General features: G+C 41.8%; 1 pseudogene across 1 annotated transcript; it reads left to right on the top strand.

The window, feature by feature from the left end:
* The first annotated feature begins 14,694 nt into the window (after positions 1-14,694).
* TEX21P (testis expressed 21, pseudogene) lies at positions 14,695-16,833 on the top strand (annotated as a pseudogene). The gene is made up of 2 exons (NR_033777.1): positions 14,695-14,783; positions 15,878-16,833. The product of NR_033777.1 is annotated as a testis expressed 21, pseudogene (transcript).

The raw sequence follows: 19,846 nt of genomic DNA, 5'->3' as shown, positions 1-19,846 counted from the left end.
ATAAAAGAAAACTAGGCAGGGAAAGGGAAGGCGCCCATCTGAAGCAAACTTCAGCGGCCATCAGGATATCTTGTGGTGGTCACAAGTTGTAGGCTCTGTTTTTGGAAGGTTTGGGTATAGCGCAGGATTCCATTTGTCTACTTGGCTACACCTCTGCCTGAGGTACACTGTTGCCAGAAAAGAGGGTCCCAATCCAGACCCCAAGAGCAGGTTACTGGATCTTGCACAGGAAATAATTCAAGGGAAGTCACACAGCACAGAGAAAAAGCAAGTTCATACAATGTTACTGAGTAAGTTATCGCCAGAAAGCAGGAGGAGGAACACGCCATCCTTGTTAGTGTCTCTATTTATAAGAAACTTATGAGAAGCTATAATTAAACTTGGAACATGCAGATGTGCTCACTAAAGGTAGGGGCTATTGGTGTTATAGATGACCATTAATCTTTCAACCTAAGCCTGCTCATTAATGGCATCTTTAATAAAGTGGGCTACACTCTTAGGACATCTGGACATTCTGCAGGATTGGTGGGAGATGTTCTGTATGGCCACCAATATTCTGTAATTATAATTGGTGGTCAGCTTGGGATGTGGCTATTTTCAGACCACAAGCATTAACCTTACAGAGTGCCTAGCTACTCATTTCAAGGTGGAGTCACTCTGGCCATGTTTTACCAAACCAGAGGTCTGGTAAGGAGAGGTTCCTCTAACACCATGAGGTCAACGTCACTCAAGTTCCTGGCCAGCCAAACTCTGAAAGCAAGGAGTCCCAAATTGAGGATCAAGTTCCTCCAGAAATCATTGCTATGGGTGGCAAAGCAGTAGATTCCCTGAAGCCAATCTCCCACATTGTCTGGAATTTTGGGAGCTTCATTTGCCCAGTTGGCAGTGCCAATGGGGACCCCGCTGGAAGCCATAGTAGCACCTTTGGGCTCTGCATAGGACTTGCTCAATACACCATATTGGAGTCGTTGGCTCTTTTTGTTATTTTAAGTTGAAATTTGAAGATTGGCTGAGTTGGTTTCATGATATTGTTGCCTACTGATATCTTACACAGAGTACGAGTACATCTGGTTGAAAGAGAAAAGGCAGAGAGAAAAGCAGACTTTTTGGAGTTGTTGTTCTCAGGCACTAACAGATTCATCCCTTATATGCATATGAATGGACAATAAGATTTCTTGGATATTTTCATGGCAAAGGTGAGGAGAAATTTTTATTGCTTTTTGAAGAAACATGATTTTTATTACCTTGGGTTATTCCAGGAGATAATTGATAAATGTTGAGTAGTTTGTTGGTCTTCTTCTTAAAGGAGGATCAAGAGAAGCAGTACAGCATGGCAGACTAGAAGCATTTCTGTTTTTTTGTTTTGTTTTGTTTGAGATGAAGTCTCGCTCTGTTGCCGAGGCTGGAGTGCAGTGGAGTGATCTCTGCTCACTGCAAGCTCCGCCTCCTGGGTTCAAGTGATTCTCCTGCCTCAGCCTCCAAAGTATCTGGGATTACAGGCATGTGCCACCACGCCCGGCTAATTTTTACATTTCTAGTAGAGACGGGGTTTCACCATGTTAGCCAGGCTGGTCTCAAACTCCTGACCTTAAATGATCCACCCACCTCGGCCTCCCAAAGTGCTGGGATTACAGGCATGAGCCACCGCACCTGGCTGAAGGGTCTTCAGTATCATCTCTGTGATAGATAAATTGTTTAGTGGGTTATCTACATTGGCCATTGACATCTAGAATTAGGGTATGAGTTGGGTTTAGAAGAAGGAAATGAGGCTGGTCTCCAATAGACAGTGATTCATATGATAAGCAGAAAGTGTTACAGAAGTCTGGTAGAGGAGGATGGGAGACAGATTATTGTCAAGGAGATAGTAAAAGTTTATTTTGAAATCCTTAGACTATGCCGGGCTCAGTGGGTCACACCTGTAATCCCAGCACTTTGGGAGGCCGAGGCGGGCGGATCACCTGAGGTCAGGAGTTCGAGACCAGCCTGACCAACATGAAGAAACTCGGTCTTTATTAAAAATACAAAATTAGCCAGGCGTGGTGGTGCATGCCTGTAATCCCAGCTACTTGGGAGGCTGAGGCAGGAGAATCACTTGAATCTGGGAGGCGGAGGTTGTGGTGAGCCAAGATCGCGCCATTGCACTCCTGCCTGGGCAATAAGGGCGAAACTCCATCTCAAAAAAAAGAAAGAAATCCTTAGACTATAAGTTTGTTATATAATCTGCATGTAAAACAAGGTCCTATATGACTCAAATAATGTGCAGGGTTCCCTTTAAAAAGTTCAGCAACTACTTTCCTTTTTTTTTTTTTGAGATGGAGTCTCACTCTGTCACCCAGGCTGGAGTGGGTTGGTGCAATCTTGGCTCACTGAAACCTCTGCCTCCTGGGCTCAAGCCATCTTCTCACCTCAGCATCCTCGGTAATTTAGTTGGGACTACTGGCGTGCGCCACCATGCCCGGCTAATTTTCCTGTATTTTGTGGAGAGACGGGGTTTCACCATGTTGCCCAGGCTTGTCTCAAACTCCTGGGCTCAAGTGATCCTCCTGCCTTGATCTCCCAAAGTGCTAGGATTACAGGCGTGAGCCACCACACCTGGCCAATGACTTTCAAATTTGTTTAAAGTAATCCCAATCTTTATTTGCCTCTCTCAAGTAATTAATGATAACACTTTCTTTAAAAAAAAAATGCTGTCACTAGGCTGGGTGCGGTGGCTCACATCTGTAATCCCAGCACTTTGGGAAGCCGAGGCGGGTGGATCACCTGAGGTCAGGAGTTCGAGACCAGCCTGACCAACACGGTGAAACCCTGTCTCTACTAAATACAAAAATTAGCCAGGTATGGTGGTGGGCACCTGTAATTCCAGCTACTTAGGAGGCTGAGGAAGGAGAATCGCTTGAACCCCGGGAGGTGGAGGTTGCATTGAGCCGAGATGGCACCATTGCACTCCAGCCTGGGCAACAAGAGCAAAACTGTCTCAAAAAAAAAAAAAAAAAAAAAAAAAAAACAGACCGGGCATGGTGGCTCACACCTGTAATCCCAGCACTTTGGGAGGCAGAGGCAGGTGGATCACCTGAAGTCAGGAGTTTGAGACCAGCCTGGCCAACATGGCAAAACCCCACCTCTACTAAAAATACAAAAAAATTAGCTGGGCACGGTGGCAGGTGCCTGTAATCTCATCTACTAGGGAAGCTGAAGCAGGGGAATCGCTTGAACCTGGGAGACGGAGGTTGCAGTGAGCTGAGGTTGTGCCATTGCACTCCAGCCTGGGAGACAGAGCAAGACTCCATCTCAAAAAAAAAAAAAAAAAAAAGTCACTAATCTCTAAGATCTCTGAATAACTCTCTCAGAATTAGAGTCCATACAGCTCTGATCTTTTCTTCTTTTATGCTGCTTGTTTTTCCAAGGCTTTTAGTGATGCAAACTTATCATTACTTTAACAATTCCAGCTTTCCTTCTATGTCTTGGTTTTACACGACAAGAAGCCCAGAAACTGAACTTGCTTACTCAGCTCCCGAGGTTGAAGGTGGCAAGAAGGTGGTAAGAATCCTAGACAGGCTAGGCCTGGTGGCTCACGCCTATAATCCTAACAATTTGGGAGGCCAAGGCAGGAGGATCGCTTGAGGCCAGGAGTTCGAGACTAGCCTGGGGAACATAGTGAGACCCTGTCTCTACAAAAAAAAAAAAGAAAAAATTAGCTGGGTGTGGTAGTGCACACCTGTGGTCCCAGCTACTCAGGAGGCCAAGTTGGGAGGATTGCTTGAGCCCAGGAGGTGGAGGCTACAGTGAGCAATGATGGCACCACACTCCAACCTGGGCGACACAGTGAGACTCTGTCTCAAAACAAAACAAAACAAAACAAAACAAAACAAAGAAGATTTGGTAGAATTCTCCTGTGGGAGTTTGGAGAAAGAAGTAGAACATTATTATTGTTTTTTTCCTGTCATATTTCTAATGGAAACAGGATGATTACAAGAGTGCAGGGGAAAGGTTGGGGAAAAGAAATGTGACTTCTTTCACTTTTACATTATTGAAATTGTTATTTAAATTGTATTCTATAACCATAATTAAATCTTCATAAACTTTTCACTTAATGATCTTAGCATTCATTGATGGTCTTTGCCTGAATCTTATTTCAAAAGGCAAGGCATTTCAAAAATGCTGATTTTTAAAATTTCTATCATTTCTTATACACTTATTAGCTCACATTTTTCTGTAATGAGTTTACCCTTATCAAGTGGGACTCTTTGGTTAGCTGCTCCTCTAAGCTAATTTTTCTTGTATTCTCAAAGCAGTTTCTCCATACTATCATTTCAATACCTCTTGCTGTTCTAGTTTGCTGTTTTGAGTATGTCCTTGTCTTACTTATGTGATTGACTTTTTTTTTGAGATGGAGTTTCTCTCTCGTCGCCCAGGCTGGAGTGCAATGGCACCATCTCTGCTCACTGCAACCTCCGCCTCCCAAGTTCAAGCAATTCTCCTACCTCAGCTTCCCGAATAACTGGGATTACAGGCACCTGCCACCACACCCAGATAATTTTTGTATTTTTAGTAGAGACGGGGTTTCACCATGCTGGTCAGGCTGGTCTTGAACTCCTGACCTCAGAGGATCCACCCGCCTTGGCCCCACAAAGTGCTGGGATTCCAGGCGTGAGCCACAGTGCCTGGCCATGACTAACTCATTCCATTGAGGGTCTTTTCTCCTGAAGTTTTGTGCTATGACTTGATATTTCAAAAGAAGGGAAATAGATGTCTCAGTATTAAATTTCAAACGGGAAGTTTAACCTGTATATTGGCTTATTTAGGGTAAGAGTGAAGCTATCCTGGACAAGAACTTTGACAGGACAATACTATTCACTCTGAAGGACCAAAAAATGAGCAGAAAATTTGGGATAAATGTCAACAAGATTTGAACCCTAAAGAAAAGCAAGCATCGAGTTAGACAGACGTCCATATTCATTCAACTGGGAAAATAAAACTGCAGTCCCAACATCAGAATTTCCTTGGTCAGTTGGTTATTGCGGGACAGCATTCTTCTGCATGACAGTATTGTCTCCTTACCAGCCACAGAGGAGGCTGTGAGAGAGAGGATTTGGGAAATTGGTGCAAATGAGAAATCTTGGAAATCTGTAAGTATATAGATATAAAAGTTATTCTTTCCAGTTTGATTCTTTTATGATGTAGATTTTAATATCCGTCAATTTAGGAAACTCTGTGGCTCTGAATTATAGTTATAATTCTAGTTTTACTATTACAGTGAAAGAAGAGAAGAGGCTGTTCATTATTATATTGGAAGTAGTGTAGCATGTTTATTAAGAGTGCAGAGCCCCAGCATGAAGCCTAGCTCTGCCATTTGCCAGCTGTGTGTGCTCTTGGGCAGACTACTTATCCTCTCTGTGCCTCATTTTCATTTGTGAAGTAGGGGACGGTGTGTAGTTCCCACCTCACAGAGTGGTTGCAAGGACCAAATGGGTTAATACATGATAAATGCTTAGTTTAGTGTAAGTTCAATAAATATCAAAATAGTGGTATGTTAAAGATAGTGTTTACATGATAACCTAAAATTAATTGCCAGTTTGTTTTAATTTACTGGTCAAGTCTATCAAATGATTGAATCAGCATGTTTAAGTGGATATATCTCATTTATGTCCAGATCATTTTAGTATATTCATGACTCCTCACTTTAAAATTCAAATGATAATAGGTACAGTTAGTCCTCCATATCTGTGGATTCAACCAAGTAAAAATAAAAAATTGCATCACAACAAGGCATGGTGGCTCACATCTGTAGTCCCAGCACTTTGGGAGGCTGAGGCGGGTGGACCGCTTGAGGCCAGGAGTTTGAGACCAGCCTGGCCAACATGACAAAAACCCATCTCTACTAAAAATACAAAAATCAGCTGGGTGGTGGTGGCTTGCACTTGTAGTCCCAGCTACTCGGGAGGCTGAGGGATGAGAATTGCTTGAACCCAGGAGGTGGAGGTTGCAATGGGCCGACATCTCACCACTACACTCTAGCCCGGGCAACAAATCAAGACTGTCTCTTTTTTTTTTTTTTTTTGAGACGAAGTCTCGCTCAGTCGCCCAGGCTAGAGCGCAGTGGCGCAATCTCGGCTCACTGCAAGCTCCGCCTCCCAGGTTCACGCCATTCTCCTGCCTCAGCCTCCCAAGTAGCTGGGACTACAGGCGCCCACCACCACGCCTGGCTAATTTTTTGTATTTTTAGTAGAGACGGGGTTTCACCGTGTTAGCCAGGATGGTCTCGATCTCCTGACCTCGTGATCCGCCCGTCTCGGCCTCCCAAAGTGCTGGGATTACAAGCGTGAGCCACCGTGCCCGGCCAAGACTGTCTCAAAAAAAAAAAAAAATTGCATCTGTACTGAACATGTACAGACATTCTTCCTTTTCATTATTCTCTAAACAACAGAGTACAACTATTTACATAACATTTACGTTATATTAGGTATTATAAAAGTCTCCCGAGAGACAGAGGTTGCAGTGAGCCGAGATCGCGCCATTGCACTCCAGCCCGGGGGACCAGAGCGAGTCTTCCTCTCAAAAAAAAAAAAAAAAAAAATTGAGATGATTTAAAGTGTACAGGAGGATGTGAATAGGTTAGATACAAGCACAATACCATTTTGTATCAAAGACTTGAGTATTCATAAATTTTGGCATCTCTAGGAGGTTCTGACACCAGTCTCCCAGGGACGCTAGGGACGCCTGTATATGGCTTAGATTCAGTGTGTTAGTGAAACCTGCTACACAGTAGCCTGTTTAGAGTTCCCCATTTTTAAAAATACTCTGCTTTTTTAAAATTCATTATACAGCCTTATTTCTCAGTACTGACTAAAATGTCTTATTTTTATATATCGAAGCTTTCTATTTATTTTTTAAACCAATGTATACATGTCAAATCCTAAAATCGCCTGTATTAATCTACTTAGTAACTTAATGCCACTCCAATGTGGATATAAATAGAACTTGCACATAGTTTTGAAACTACGTAGAAAGCATGGAGGCTGGGTGCGTAGGCTCACGCCTGTAATCCCAGCACTTTGGGAGGCTAAGGTGGGCAGATCACCTGAATTCAGGAGTTCGAGACCAGCCTGACCAATATGGCAAAACCCCGTCTCTACCAAAAATACAAAAATTAGCCTGGCATGGTGGCATGCACCTGTAGTGCCAGCTACTTGGGAGGCTGAGACAGGATAATTGCTTGAACCTGGGAGGCGGAGGTTACCGTGAGCCAACGTGGCACCACTGCACTCCAGCCTGGGTGAAAGAGCGAGACTCTGTCTTAAGAAAGAAAGAAAGCGGGCGGGGGGGCGGGGGGAAGGGCAAGCAAGCATAGAGCATGAGGAAGTTTTTAATGTCTTTTTCTTACAGAGAACTAAAGCCTTTCAGCAGGAAATCCAGATGCTCACTAAGTGACTAGAGCAGCTGCATCATCTTTAAGAAGAAGGTGCTCAAGAATCATCCCAAGCTGAAGAAAAAAGTATTGGGAACAAAAAAGACCCTTGAAATGTCTAGAAAGAAAAATTGAGATCAAGGACTTTTTCAAGAGAGATTAGACTTGGACAGGAAGAAAGTAAGAATTTCCTGAAGTATAAGCATTCCTTTGATAATGAAAATGATTGCATTTTATTCATAACTTTAACTTTATCTAATGTTTGAAGCTGTTAATACTGTTAATACTTTTCTCCACATTGGGAAAGGGGGGAAATTTGCTACAAACTCTGAAAGCTTCCGATTTTATTTTATTTATTTATTTATATTTTTTGAGAGAGAGTCTCGCTCTGTCACCAGACTGGAGTGCAGTGACGCTATCTTGGCTCACTGCAACCTCTGCCTCCTGGGTTCAAGCGATTCTCCTGCCTCAGCCTCCCGAGTAGCTGGGACTACAGGCACGCGCCACCATGCCCAGCTAATTTTTGTATTTTTAGTAGAGACGAGGTTTCACCATTTTAGCCAGGATGGTCTCAATCTCTTGACCTTATGATCCACCTGCCTCAGCCTCCCAAAGTGCTGGGATTACAGGCATGAGCCACTGCCCTGGCCTCTGATTTTATTTTTAAAAGCCTCTTCTCTCTCCGTATCTCCATGTCTCTTTTGTGTACTTATTTGATGTTTGTTGTGAGGGCATCTGTTTACATATATATCTCAATGTACTTTAAGGAGAGGATTAGAAGAAAAGGAGCTCAAAGGAATAACTCTCTTTTTTTCTTTTTTTTCAGATGGAGTCTCACTCTGTCACCCAGGGTGGAGTGCAATGGTGTGATCTCGGCTCACTGCAACCTCCGCCTCCCAGGTTCAAGCGATTTTCCTGCCTCAGCCTCCCAAGTAGCTGGGATTACAGGTGCTCACCACCCGCCCGGCTAACTTTTGTATTTTTAGTAGAGACAAGGTTTCACCATGTTGGCCAGTCTGGTCTCAAACTCCTGACTGCAGGTGATCTGCCTGCCTTGGCCTTCCAAAGTGCTGGGATTACATGTGTGAGCCACTGTGCCCGGCCAAAGGAATAACTCTCTAATGGGGAAATTTTAGGAATTGTGACAGGCAGATATAATGAGCATTGATGAGGGGCCATTGATGATGTCTCTCAATAATCACTGTATAAGTCATTCTCTTCTCTACTCTCTGCTTCCCTGAATCTGTAAGGAAAAAGGCAGTCCTAAAAGTTGGATAGAAATAGGTAGGTTGCAATACAATTTATTTTCAGGAGATTCTCTATTTTACTACCTCTTCATAGAATTGCCTATCATAGCCGGGCACAGTGGCTCACACCTATAATCCTAGCATTTTGGGAGGCTGAGACAGGCGGATCACGAGGTCAGGAGATTGAGACCATCCTGGCCAACATGGTGAAACTCTGTCTCTACTAAAAATACAATAATTAGCTGGATGTGGTGGCACACACCTATAATCCCAGCTACTCTGGAGGCTGAGGCAGGAGAATTGCTTGAACTCAGGAGGCAGAAATTGCAGTGAGCCAAGGTAGTGCCGCTACATTGCAGCCTGGTGACAGAGCAAGACTCCATCTCAAGAAAAGAAAAAAAAAAAAAAAAAAGAATTGCCTATCATAACCAAATTACGTTATAGTATTTCTATAATTGCTATGGTCCAAAGTGGAATCTTGCTCACTCATTTACCATTTACTCATTTAGTCTTTTTTTTTTTTTTTTTTCTGAGACTGAGTCTCACTCCATCACCCAGGCTGGAGTGCAGTGGCGCAATCTCGGCTCACTGCAACCTCCACCTCCCAGGTTCCAATGATTCTCCTGCCTCAGCCTCCCGAGTAGCTGGGACTATAGGTGTGTGCCACCACACCCAGCTAATTTTTGCAGTTTTTAGTAGAGATGCAGGGTTTCACCATGTTGGCCAGGCTGGTCTTGAACTCCTGACCTCGTTATCTGCCTGCCTCAGCCTCCCAAAGTGCTGGGATTATAGGCATGAGCCACTGCGCCCAGCCTTCATTTAGTCTTTTGGCTCATTCATTTGTTTATCCAATATTTATTGAGCATTCAGTTTTCTTTTCTTTTCTTTTTTGAGACGGAGTTTTGCCCTTGTTGCCTAGGCTGGAGTGCAATGGCGCGATCTTGGCTCACTGCAATCTCTGCCTCCCGAGCTCAAGCGATTCTCCTGCCTCAGTCTCCTGAGTAGCTGGGATTACAGGCATGCGCCACCACACCTGTCTAATTTTGTATTTTTAGTAGTGACAGTGTTTCTCCATGTTGTTCAGGCTGGTCTCGAACTCCCGACCTCAGATGACCAGCCCACCTTGGCCTCCCAAAGTGCTGGGATTACAGGTGTGAGCCACCATGCCCGGCCTAATAGTTTTCTTTACTAGAGTTCTTGGGTTTTCTGGATTTCACTGTATATTGTCAAATTGTTTCCTAGGAAATAATGTATTTTTAAAATTTCACTTATTTATTTTATAAATAATTTGATTCTAAAGGTGGAACAGTTTGGACCAGCTCATGGGAGAACTGTCTTTTTTTTTTTTTTTTTGAGACAGTCTTGCTCTGCCTCCCAGGCTGGAATGTGGTGTTACCATCACGATTCACTGTAGCCTCAACCTCCTAAGGCTCAAGTGCTCCTCTTGCCTCAGACTCCCGAGTAGCTGGGACCACAGGTGCACACCACTATGCCCAGCTAATTTTTGTAGAAATGGGGTCTTTCCATGTTGCTCAGGCTGGTCTTGAACTCCTTGTGGCTCAAATGATCCGCCCATCTCTGCCTCCCAAAGTACTGGAATTACAGCCTTTATTTCTTTTAGATTTTCAATTTACTGCCCCTAAGTTGCAAAATGTTCTCTTAGAATTATTTTTATCTTTGCATTCTGTATCCATTCTGTATGCATATCTATATATTCTGTATATTCCTCCTTTCTAATATTGTGTATTTTCACTTTCTCTCTTTCCTTTTTAACCAGGCTTGCCTGAGGCATCTATTTTATCTTTCCAAAGAACCAGTGGTTCTTTTTGAGACAGGGTCTGGCTCTGTCTATTGTCCAGGCTGGAGTGCAGTGGCATGATTATGGCTCACTGAAGCCTCAACCTTCAGGGCTCCAGTGATCCTCCTGCCTCAGCCTCCCAGATAGCTGGAACTATAGGTGCACGCCTCCACGCCTGGCTAGCTTTTTGAAGTTTTTGTAGAGATGAGGTTTCGCCATGTTGCCCAGGCTGGTCTCAAACTGCTGAGCTCAAGTGATTCTCCCGCCTCGGCCTCCCAAAGTGCTAGTATTACAGGCATGATTCACCGTGCCTGGCCAGTTCTTTTTTTAAAATATACGTTTTATGGCCTGGCACGCTGGCTCACCCTGTAATCCCAGCATTTTGGGAGGCTGAGGTGGGCAGATCACTTGAGGTCAGGAATTCGAGACCAGCCTGACCAACGTGGTAAAACCCTGTCTCTACTAAAAATGCAAAAGTTAACTGGGCATGGTGGTGTGCACCTCTAATCTCAGCTACTTGGGAGGCTGAGGCAGGAGAATCACTTGAACCAGGGAGGTGGAGGTTGCATTGAGCTGAGATTGTGGCACTGCACTCCAGCCTGGGCAACAGAGCGAGACTGTCTCAAAAATAAATAAATAAATAAATAAATACACATTTTATTAGTTTATTTTGGTTTATATGTAATGAATATATATAGTATGTTTATTAAATCTGCACCCTACTTTCTCTTTTCCCTTCTTAAGTAAATGTGCTTTTTTTGTCTTTTGTTTTTAAATCAGAAAAAGAGTAAGTACTATTGAATGTTCCTCTGTAGCTTGTCCAATAGATTTTTATAAGAAATGTTTCTTTTCACTGTGTTCTATGTATTTTTGTAATTTTAGTGTTGATTTCCATTTTTTGGCTGAAGGTATTCAGAATTTTTGTTTGTTTGTTTTTTGTTTTTGAGACGGAGTTTCACTCTTGTTGCCAAGGCTGGAGTGAAGTGGTGCAATCTCGGCTCACTGCAACCTCTGCCTCCCAGATTCAAGCAATTCTCCTGCCTCAGCCTCCCTAGTAGCTGGGATTACAGGTGTGCACCACCATGCCCAGTGAATTTTTGTATTTTTAGTAGAGGTGGGGTTTCACCACCTTGGCCAGGCTGGTCTCGAATTCCTGACCTCAGGTGATCCCCATGCCTCGACCTCCCAAAGTGCTGGGATTACAGGCGTGAGCCACCGCACCCAGCCTAGAATTTTTTTAACCCTTTATACACACACACACACACACACACACACACACTTTTCAAAATCAAATATACCAAGAGTCTTTTATTGAAAAGGAGCAGCCCTCTTCTGTACCTCTCTTATTTCCCAGAGGGAACTCTTTAACTCTTTTAGCTGTTTCTGATAGTAACTTCCATTTTCCTAAACAATTTTAAACTGCCTTATCTCGAGTTATCTATATTAGACATGTTGTTGATTTCCTGTTATATGATAGATGAAATTTCATCTCTCATACCACTTTCCTACCTGCTCCTTTCATCTTCCCAATCTGGTTATATTGATATTTTAAGCTAAATGCATAATCAGCATTTACTTTACCGTGATACTAAATGTTTACAAAAGCATGAAGTACTATATTCTTGGTACATTTTCTTTCTTGTATTGCATTTTATTTTTCCTACAGTTAATACCTTCCTTATATTTTCATACGTTTAATTTTCAGTGTTCATTTATCAAGGTTTTTTTCCTGCCTAAATCTGTATCAGATGATCCTTTAGTCTTTAAAAATCTCCCATTTTTTCTCTCCCAAAGTCCTTCATTCCCTTGCTTCAGTCTGGATTTTACTCTGTGGGCCTGAGCACAGCCATGATGCCATGACTTTCCTTCTCTAATCTCCTGGTTAGGTTTCATTGTTTGCCGAATCACATTTCTTCCTCTTTTTTGGTTTCCTTTCTTATTTTACTGGAACACATCCTCCAATGGCTTCCTAAGAAATGGTGCCTTGGAGAGCGACATTTTTTGAGGTCCTTGTGTGAATGACAATGTCTTTTTTTGTTTGAATCATCATACTCAATTGATAGCTGGGTTTAGACTTTATTTTCACACACGGACTTCATTGTCTTCTAATCTCTAGGGTTGTTATTGAGGAAAATATGCCATTCTGATTCTTGTTCCTTAATATGTTATTTCTTGTAATGGATTAAAACATTTACCATAACTTTTTTGTAATAACATTTTATAACTAATTTTTTTCTCATAATAAAATTAATTCAGCTGGGCATAGTGGCTCATGTCCGTAATTCCAGCACTTAGGGAGGCTGAGGTGGGTGGATAGCTGGAACCCAGGAATTTGAGATCAGCCTGGACAACATGGCAACACCCCATCTCTACAAAAAATTTAAGAACTAGCCAGGCATGGTGCACACTTGTAGTCCCAGTTACTGGGGAGGCTTAGGTGGGAGGATGGGTTGAGCACGGGAGGTCGAGGCTGCAGTGTGCTGTGATTGCACCACTGCACTCCAGCCTGAGCGGCAGGGTGAGACCCTGTCTCAAAAAATTAAAAAATCATGTGTATTAGTGAAGATTTGTAAAGTAGAAAATAATAGAAATAAAATTGAAATCACCAGTAATCCCACCATTTTGCGATAACTAGTATTAAATATAGGTATATTTCCCTCTGATTATTTTCCATGTATATTTTTATCATCATTGAGATGTACATAGTTTTTCTTAATCCTGCTTTTTTCATTAACTACATCATTGTTAATTTTTCTTAATAAATATTTTTGAAAACTTAATTTCTAGGGAATAATCTATCATATAATAATTTTTCTTTTTTGACATTTGCATTGTTTCAGTTTTTTCTATTATGAATAATGTTGTAAAGAATATCTTTGTGGGCCAGGTGCGGTGGCTCATGCCTGTAATCTCAGCAGTTTGGGAGGCCAAGGTGGGCGGATCACCTGAGGTCAGGAGTTTGCGATCAGCCTGGCCAACATGGTGAAACCCTGTCTCTACTAAAAATAAAAAAATTAGCCAGGCATGGTGACAAGCGCCTGTAATTCCAGCTACTCGGGAAGCTGAGGCTGGGGAATCACTTGAACCTAGGAGGCGGAGATTGCATTTAGCCAAGATTATGCCATTGCACTCCAGCCTGGGCCACAAGAGCGAAACTCTCAGATATTCAAAAAGAATATCTGAATATCTTTATGGCCGGGTGCAGTGGCTCACCCTTGTAATACCAGCACCTTGGATGAGCAACGCAGGAGGATCACTTGAGCCCAGGAGATTGAGGGAAAAAAAAAAAAAAAAAAAAAAAAAAAAAGCCCGGGTGTGCACACCCTGTAGTCCCAGCTACTCCAGATGTTGAGATGGGAGGATCACTTGAGCCTGGGAGGTCAAGCCTTCAGTGAGCTGTGATAACGCCACTGCATTCCAGCATGGGCGACAGAGCAAGACCCTAACTTAAAAAATAAAATAAAATAAATAATATCTTTGTGTGAGTCTTTTTTTTTTTCCCCGAGACGGAGTTTCGCTCTTTCGCCCAGGCTGGAGTGCAGTGGTGCAATCTCCGCTCACTGCAGCCTCCGCCTTCCGGTTTCAAGCGATTCTCTTGCCTCAGCCTCCTCAGTAGCTGGGATTACAGGCATCTGCCACCACGCCCAGCTAATTTTTGTATTTTTAGTAGAGACCGGGTTTCATCATGTTGGCCATGGTCTCGATCTCCTGACCTCGTGATCTGCCTTCCTCAGCCTCCCAAAATGCTGGGATTACAGGCTTGAGCCACAGTGCCCGGCCCGTGTGTGAATCTTTATCCACATATTTGATTATTTCTTTATAATACATTCCTAGAAAAGTTGAACTAATCTATGCTACTGCTTGGTGCTTATAAAATCTATTTCATTGTACTCTTGGTAGTCCTGAGTCATCACTTTTATTGTCATATTTTATTTTCTTGATTATTTTAATAATGCTTATTTATGGTGAAAAATATTTTACTTATGGAAGTATTGTTAAGCCTGCAGTGTGTTAGTCTGGAGTGGATGTGGTATTATGCTAGTGTATAATAACATCTTAAAGCACAATTTTTTACTTCAATACTGTTGATTTCTGCAAAGGAAAACTCAGGGACTAAGCATTCCCAGATAGACAAGCATAGCAAGAAGTTCAAAAAGCTAGAGAAAGACAACATGCAACAAAACAAATGTTATTGAATATTTGGCAGAATTTGCAGATTGCTACTACGCAAAGATTGGAGGAGAAAATTCAGAAACTTCAGAGACAGCTCAGTGATTTGAAATTGTCAAATAAAAATATGAAAACTCAGCTGACAAGAGTAAATGTCCTTAAAGTAAGTAAAGGAAGTGAGGCTTTCAGAAATTCACTAAAGCTTTGGTCTTTTACCATTTTAGCAGCATGCTTTTCATTGAAGCTAAAAAAATTAATATTAAAATTATTTTACATACATACAAAAGAATATATATTTAAGCATATAGAATAAAATTGGAATTCACCACTCATTTTAAGAAACAAATATTACCAATACAATTGAAACCCCCATATATCCATATATCCTCCTCCTTGTATTCTAAGTGTTATTATTACAAATCCCTTGTTTTTTGTTTTATTATTATTATTCTTTTTGAGATGGAGTCTTGCTCTGTTACCCAGACTGGAGTACAGTGGCGTGATCTTGGCTCACTGCAACCTCTGCCTTCCAGGTTCAAGTAATCCTCCCACCTCAGCCTCCCAAGTAGCTGGGAATACAGGCGCGTGCCACCATGCCCAGTTAATTTTTGTATTTTTAGTAGAAACAGGGTTTCACCATGTTGGCCAGGCTGGTCTCAAACTCCCGACCTCAAGTGATCTGCCTGCCTTGGCCTCCCAAAGTGCTGGGATTACAAGTGTGAGCTACCTCACCCAGTCTGTTTTTTGTTTTAGTTTCACTTGTGTCTCTTATTGGGGTAATAGTTAAAAGTTGTAGTCATTTTGGGGACTCTTCTTTGGACCTTCTCCATATCAAACTTCAGTTATACTATTTCAAAAATTATGCCTTAAGCCAAACAGGCACTAAATAACTGATCAACTGATATGCCAGTTTATCAGCAATATTTCTCTTACTGAAATGCCAATTATCTTCTGTATTTCTGTATTTGATTAATGTAGGGCTTTAAGACCTTTGAGGATGCAGAAAACATGTTAAGACTCTTTAAATCCCAAGTGGCCAGTTAATAAAAGTGCTAAGTAATAGTTATTGATGAGCACGATCATGGAGAAATGTCCTCTTAATTCAGAAATTTTGGAATGTTTTTCTTTTCCATATATCTCTGTCTTCATAAAAAAAGAAAGAAAAGGAAAAGAAGCAAGAGTTATCATAACTGTTATTTAGAAGAGATCTAATCCTAGTTATTTCCTTCCTTTCCCCCATCTTATATGCTGTCACAGGACAAAACAATTGAAGAGCTCAGGCAATCTTTAGCAAATGTTGAAAGGATGAAAGAGAAGGCAAATGTTGAAACGATGAAAGAGAAGGCAGTTGTGAAAACAGAAAACTTGAAAACTACATTAGACTCTGCAGAGCAAAAGGCAAGATCAGACAAAGAGAAGACCCAGCAGATGTTAGATGCTGTCACTTCTGAGCCCCCAACAGCAAAGAGCGCACCTGAAGAAGTATCAGGACAAGAACAAGAGGTTTTTTCAAAATAGTAAAATTAAAATTAATTTAGTTGAAGTGATAAACACCCACGCCTACTTAGACTGTAACTAACTTGACAAAAGGGAATATTGGCTTATGGAATCATGAGTTAAACAACCTAACCTCCAGGTGGGCGGAGATACACCTGGGCCCCAGGATCAGCACCTGGAACCTACAAGCCCTTTCTCATGGTCACTTCTTGGCATCTATGTGTCAGCTCATCTGTCTGACTGCTGGTTGGTTTTCTCCATGACAGGAAACATGATCACTGGCAACCATGGAGATTTATATGGAGTTTCTGTGACAGGAGAGAGAATCCCAAGAAAAGGTCTTATTGACCCAGTTTAGGTCAAGTGCTTATCCCTGCTAAACCCACAGTGGCTAGGGATGGGATATATGATTATTTTATATACTCTAACAAGTGACCAGGAGTGTAGAGTTCTATGACATCATGTGTCATCATGTGAAGCTCAGGGGAAACCATGTGTGTCACTTTCTGTGTCACTGTCTAGGAGAATATAGTAGTGCTTCTTAACTTGCTTAGATTTTCACTATACTTATAAAGCAAATATTTCGAGAGAATTTTTTAAAGGCCAACTGATCATCTGGGGCAATTTTTAAATTATATGTCACTTCTCCATATATTAGTTGCTTATGAAACTTATACCTTAAGATATGCTTAAAACATAAAGTCATGATATTAGCATTTTCACTTTTTTCTCTCTTTAACTTCTGTGTGTTCACTTTCTTGATTGTTTCTATTCCTCTCTTTTATTTTTTGAGACAGAGTCTCACTCTGTTGCCCAGGCTGGAGTGCAGTAGCATGCTCATGGCTCACTGCAGCCTCGACCTCCTGAGCTAAAGCAGTCCTCTCACTGCAGCCTTCCGAGTAGCTGGGGCTATAGGCGTGCCACCACCACACCTAATTTTTGTATGTTTTGTAGAGACAGGGTTTCACCATGTTGCCCAGGCTGGTCTCAAACTCCTGGGCTCAAGCAATTCTCCTGCCTTGGCTTCCCAAAGTGCTGGGATTACAGGTGTGAGCCACCGTGTCTAGTCCCTTATTTTATTTTCAGTCAAATCTGTTTTCCTTTGGTCACCTTGTAGTTCACTCTTCACTTTTTAGATGATTTAGTGTTTTCTTGCCTGAGTTCAACTCTCACATCTAGATATCTTGGACTATTCTGAATTATTACATTTCTGATTCAAAATAAAGTTTTTCCCCCCATTTTTGCAAATCCTTTAAAAATTGATATTTAATTTTTTTCAGGGGTGTTGTGTCAAATATTTGTCCTGTGTTTCACGGCTGTGTTTTTTTTTTTGTTTTTTGTTTTTTTTTTTTTGAGATGGAGTTTCGCTCTTGTCACCCAGGCTGGAGTGCAATGGCATGATCTCGGCTCACTGCAACCTCCACCTACTGGGTTCAAGTAATTCTCCTGCCTCAACCTCCTGAGTAGCTGGGATTACAGGCAGTGCTACCATGCCCGGCTAATTTTTGTATTTTTAGTAGAGATGGGGTTTCACCATGTTGGCCAGGCTGGTCTTGAACTCCTGACCTCAGGTGATCCAACTTCCTTGGCCTCCCAAAGTGTTGGGATTACACGTGTGAGCCACCATGCCCGGCCCATGGCTGTCTTTTGGGAGTATTTTTTTTTTCATCGCCTGAACAGTTTAGATGATAGTGTCTTTCTATTTTCTTCTTAAAGTAATTTTATGTGAATATAATTTGCCATTTGTCTGTATTCACTTTCAAATTCCTTGAATTGCTCTGGTCTTCAGATGTTTCTACTTTAGGGTAGCTGGAGGCAGGGCTTACTCACTAGGTTCCTTAGCTCAATACTACCCTCTTCTGTTGGCACAGTGAGTGCAGTTTCTAAAGTTTACTAGATCAAGCCTTTTTGGGAGTGAGGGTTTATATGATGTCTGATTCTGTAATACTGTCTCATTTGTATAAACATATTAATTTCCACTGTTTGCTTTTTTCTTTTCCTTTATTACCAAGCCTCCAAGGAACACAACTACCTCCCTCTCCCCTCAGAAACCTTGCCCTCTACAACTGCCATTTTTGGTCTCATGTGCTTCCAAGACCCTTGCTTTTCCTTCATTTGTCAGTGTTCTGATCCACCAGATCTCAGATTTGTTCTTGGTATTTCACCATTTATGATCTGTCTTGTTTCTGGGGGTAAGGTTGTCTGTGTTCTACACCAGTGAAAATTAGCTGCACCTTCCTCTGTAGCTGCCTCTGCTGGTTTAGAATATTTATTTCCCCACTAACATGCAAATTGAAGTTTGTGGTATTCTCTAGTTTTGCTTTAGGCATGATTTATAGGTAGTTTTTATTTGATCTCCGTGTTGATCACTATGGTTTTTGGAGGATGGGTAGAAAAATGTGTTTTTAGGGGACTGGTATTATCATTCAGCAAATCAGAAGTCCAAAACGTAATTACCTTATGGATGAAAAATAACAAAATAAGCAGCAATAAAATTAAGTTTACTCTATAAAAGTGTAAAAGCAAGAAAAAATTTAAATGCAAAGGAAATTTTAAATAGAGTTATTGTAATAGAAGAGACCATTTTTCTAGCTTAAAAATATTGTTTGAAAGTAGAATATATTACATTTAATAATGTTTAATAAGACTAAATTTCTAGTACCAATTCTTTGTACATAATACCTGGGTGACCCAAACTAATAACATATCTTGATTTCTGTAATGGTTGTTTGTAGCTTAGTGACTTTCAAGAAACTATTCTCAGCTACTCAGGAGGCTGAGGTGGAGGTTGCAGTGAGCCAAGATCACTGCACTCCAGCCTGGGCGACAGAGTGAGACTCTGTCTCAAAAAATAATAAATGAATAAAATTTAAAATTTAAAATAAAAATGGAAACTGCTCACCTTCCGAGGTAGTTTTAGATGTACCCAAGATATCCTCTGTGGGAACAAGTCAGAATCTGGACAGGCCTGTGGGACTCGATGCCTGTTTTAGAGAGCTCTTCAGCATGGGCGGGGTGAGATTATACTGGACCTTACAGAAGTACCATTTTGGAACAAAATAATTATCTTGAATATTCATTCAAGGGATAAATGAGAATCACTTTCCAAATGGCCACAGCCATGATTCCCAAACTGTGTGCCAAGGCACACTGGTGCACTGTAAGGATCTCAGCATGCCATGGAATGTTTTGATTTTATTTATATATTTATTGAGATGGAGTCTTGCTGTGTCACCCAGGCTGGAGTGCAGTGACGTAATCTCGGCTCACTGCAACCTCCGTCTCCCAGGTTCAAGCAATTCTCCTGTCTCAGCCTCCTGAGTAGCTGGGACTACAGGGGCCTGCCACCACGCCCGGCTAATTTTTGTATTTTTAGTGGAGACGGGGTTTCACCTTGTTGGTCAGGCTGGTCTCGAACTCCTGACCTCCGGTGATCCACCCACTTCAGCCTCCCAAAGTGTTGTGATTATAGGCATAAGCCACCGTGCCCAGCCTAAATATTTTGATTTTAAAGGGAAGCACTGTAATATTTGACATCTGTCAGGAAGGTACATGGATACTAGCTTCAACATTACATCACCCTTCATTCTTTTTGATGACATACCTTTGTGATAGAAACTGCCCAAGGCTTCTCAGGATTTATAAATTTGTTGCCGAGTGAACTTCAGTAGTTAGTGGTATCGCTACCAAAGAAGCTGTGCTGCAAACTTGGGGAAGGAGGCTCTTTCC

Source organism: Homo sapiens, chromosome 14, assembly GCF_000001405.40.
Source record: "Homo sapiens chromosome 14, GRCh38.p14 Primary Assembly".
Lineage (NCBI taxonomy): Eukaryota > Metazoa > Chordata > Mammalia > Primates > Hominidae > Homo > Homo sapiens.
This window is presented reverse-complemented; position numbering and strand designations above follow the sequence as displayed.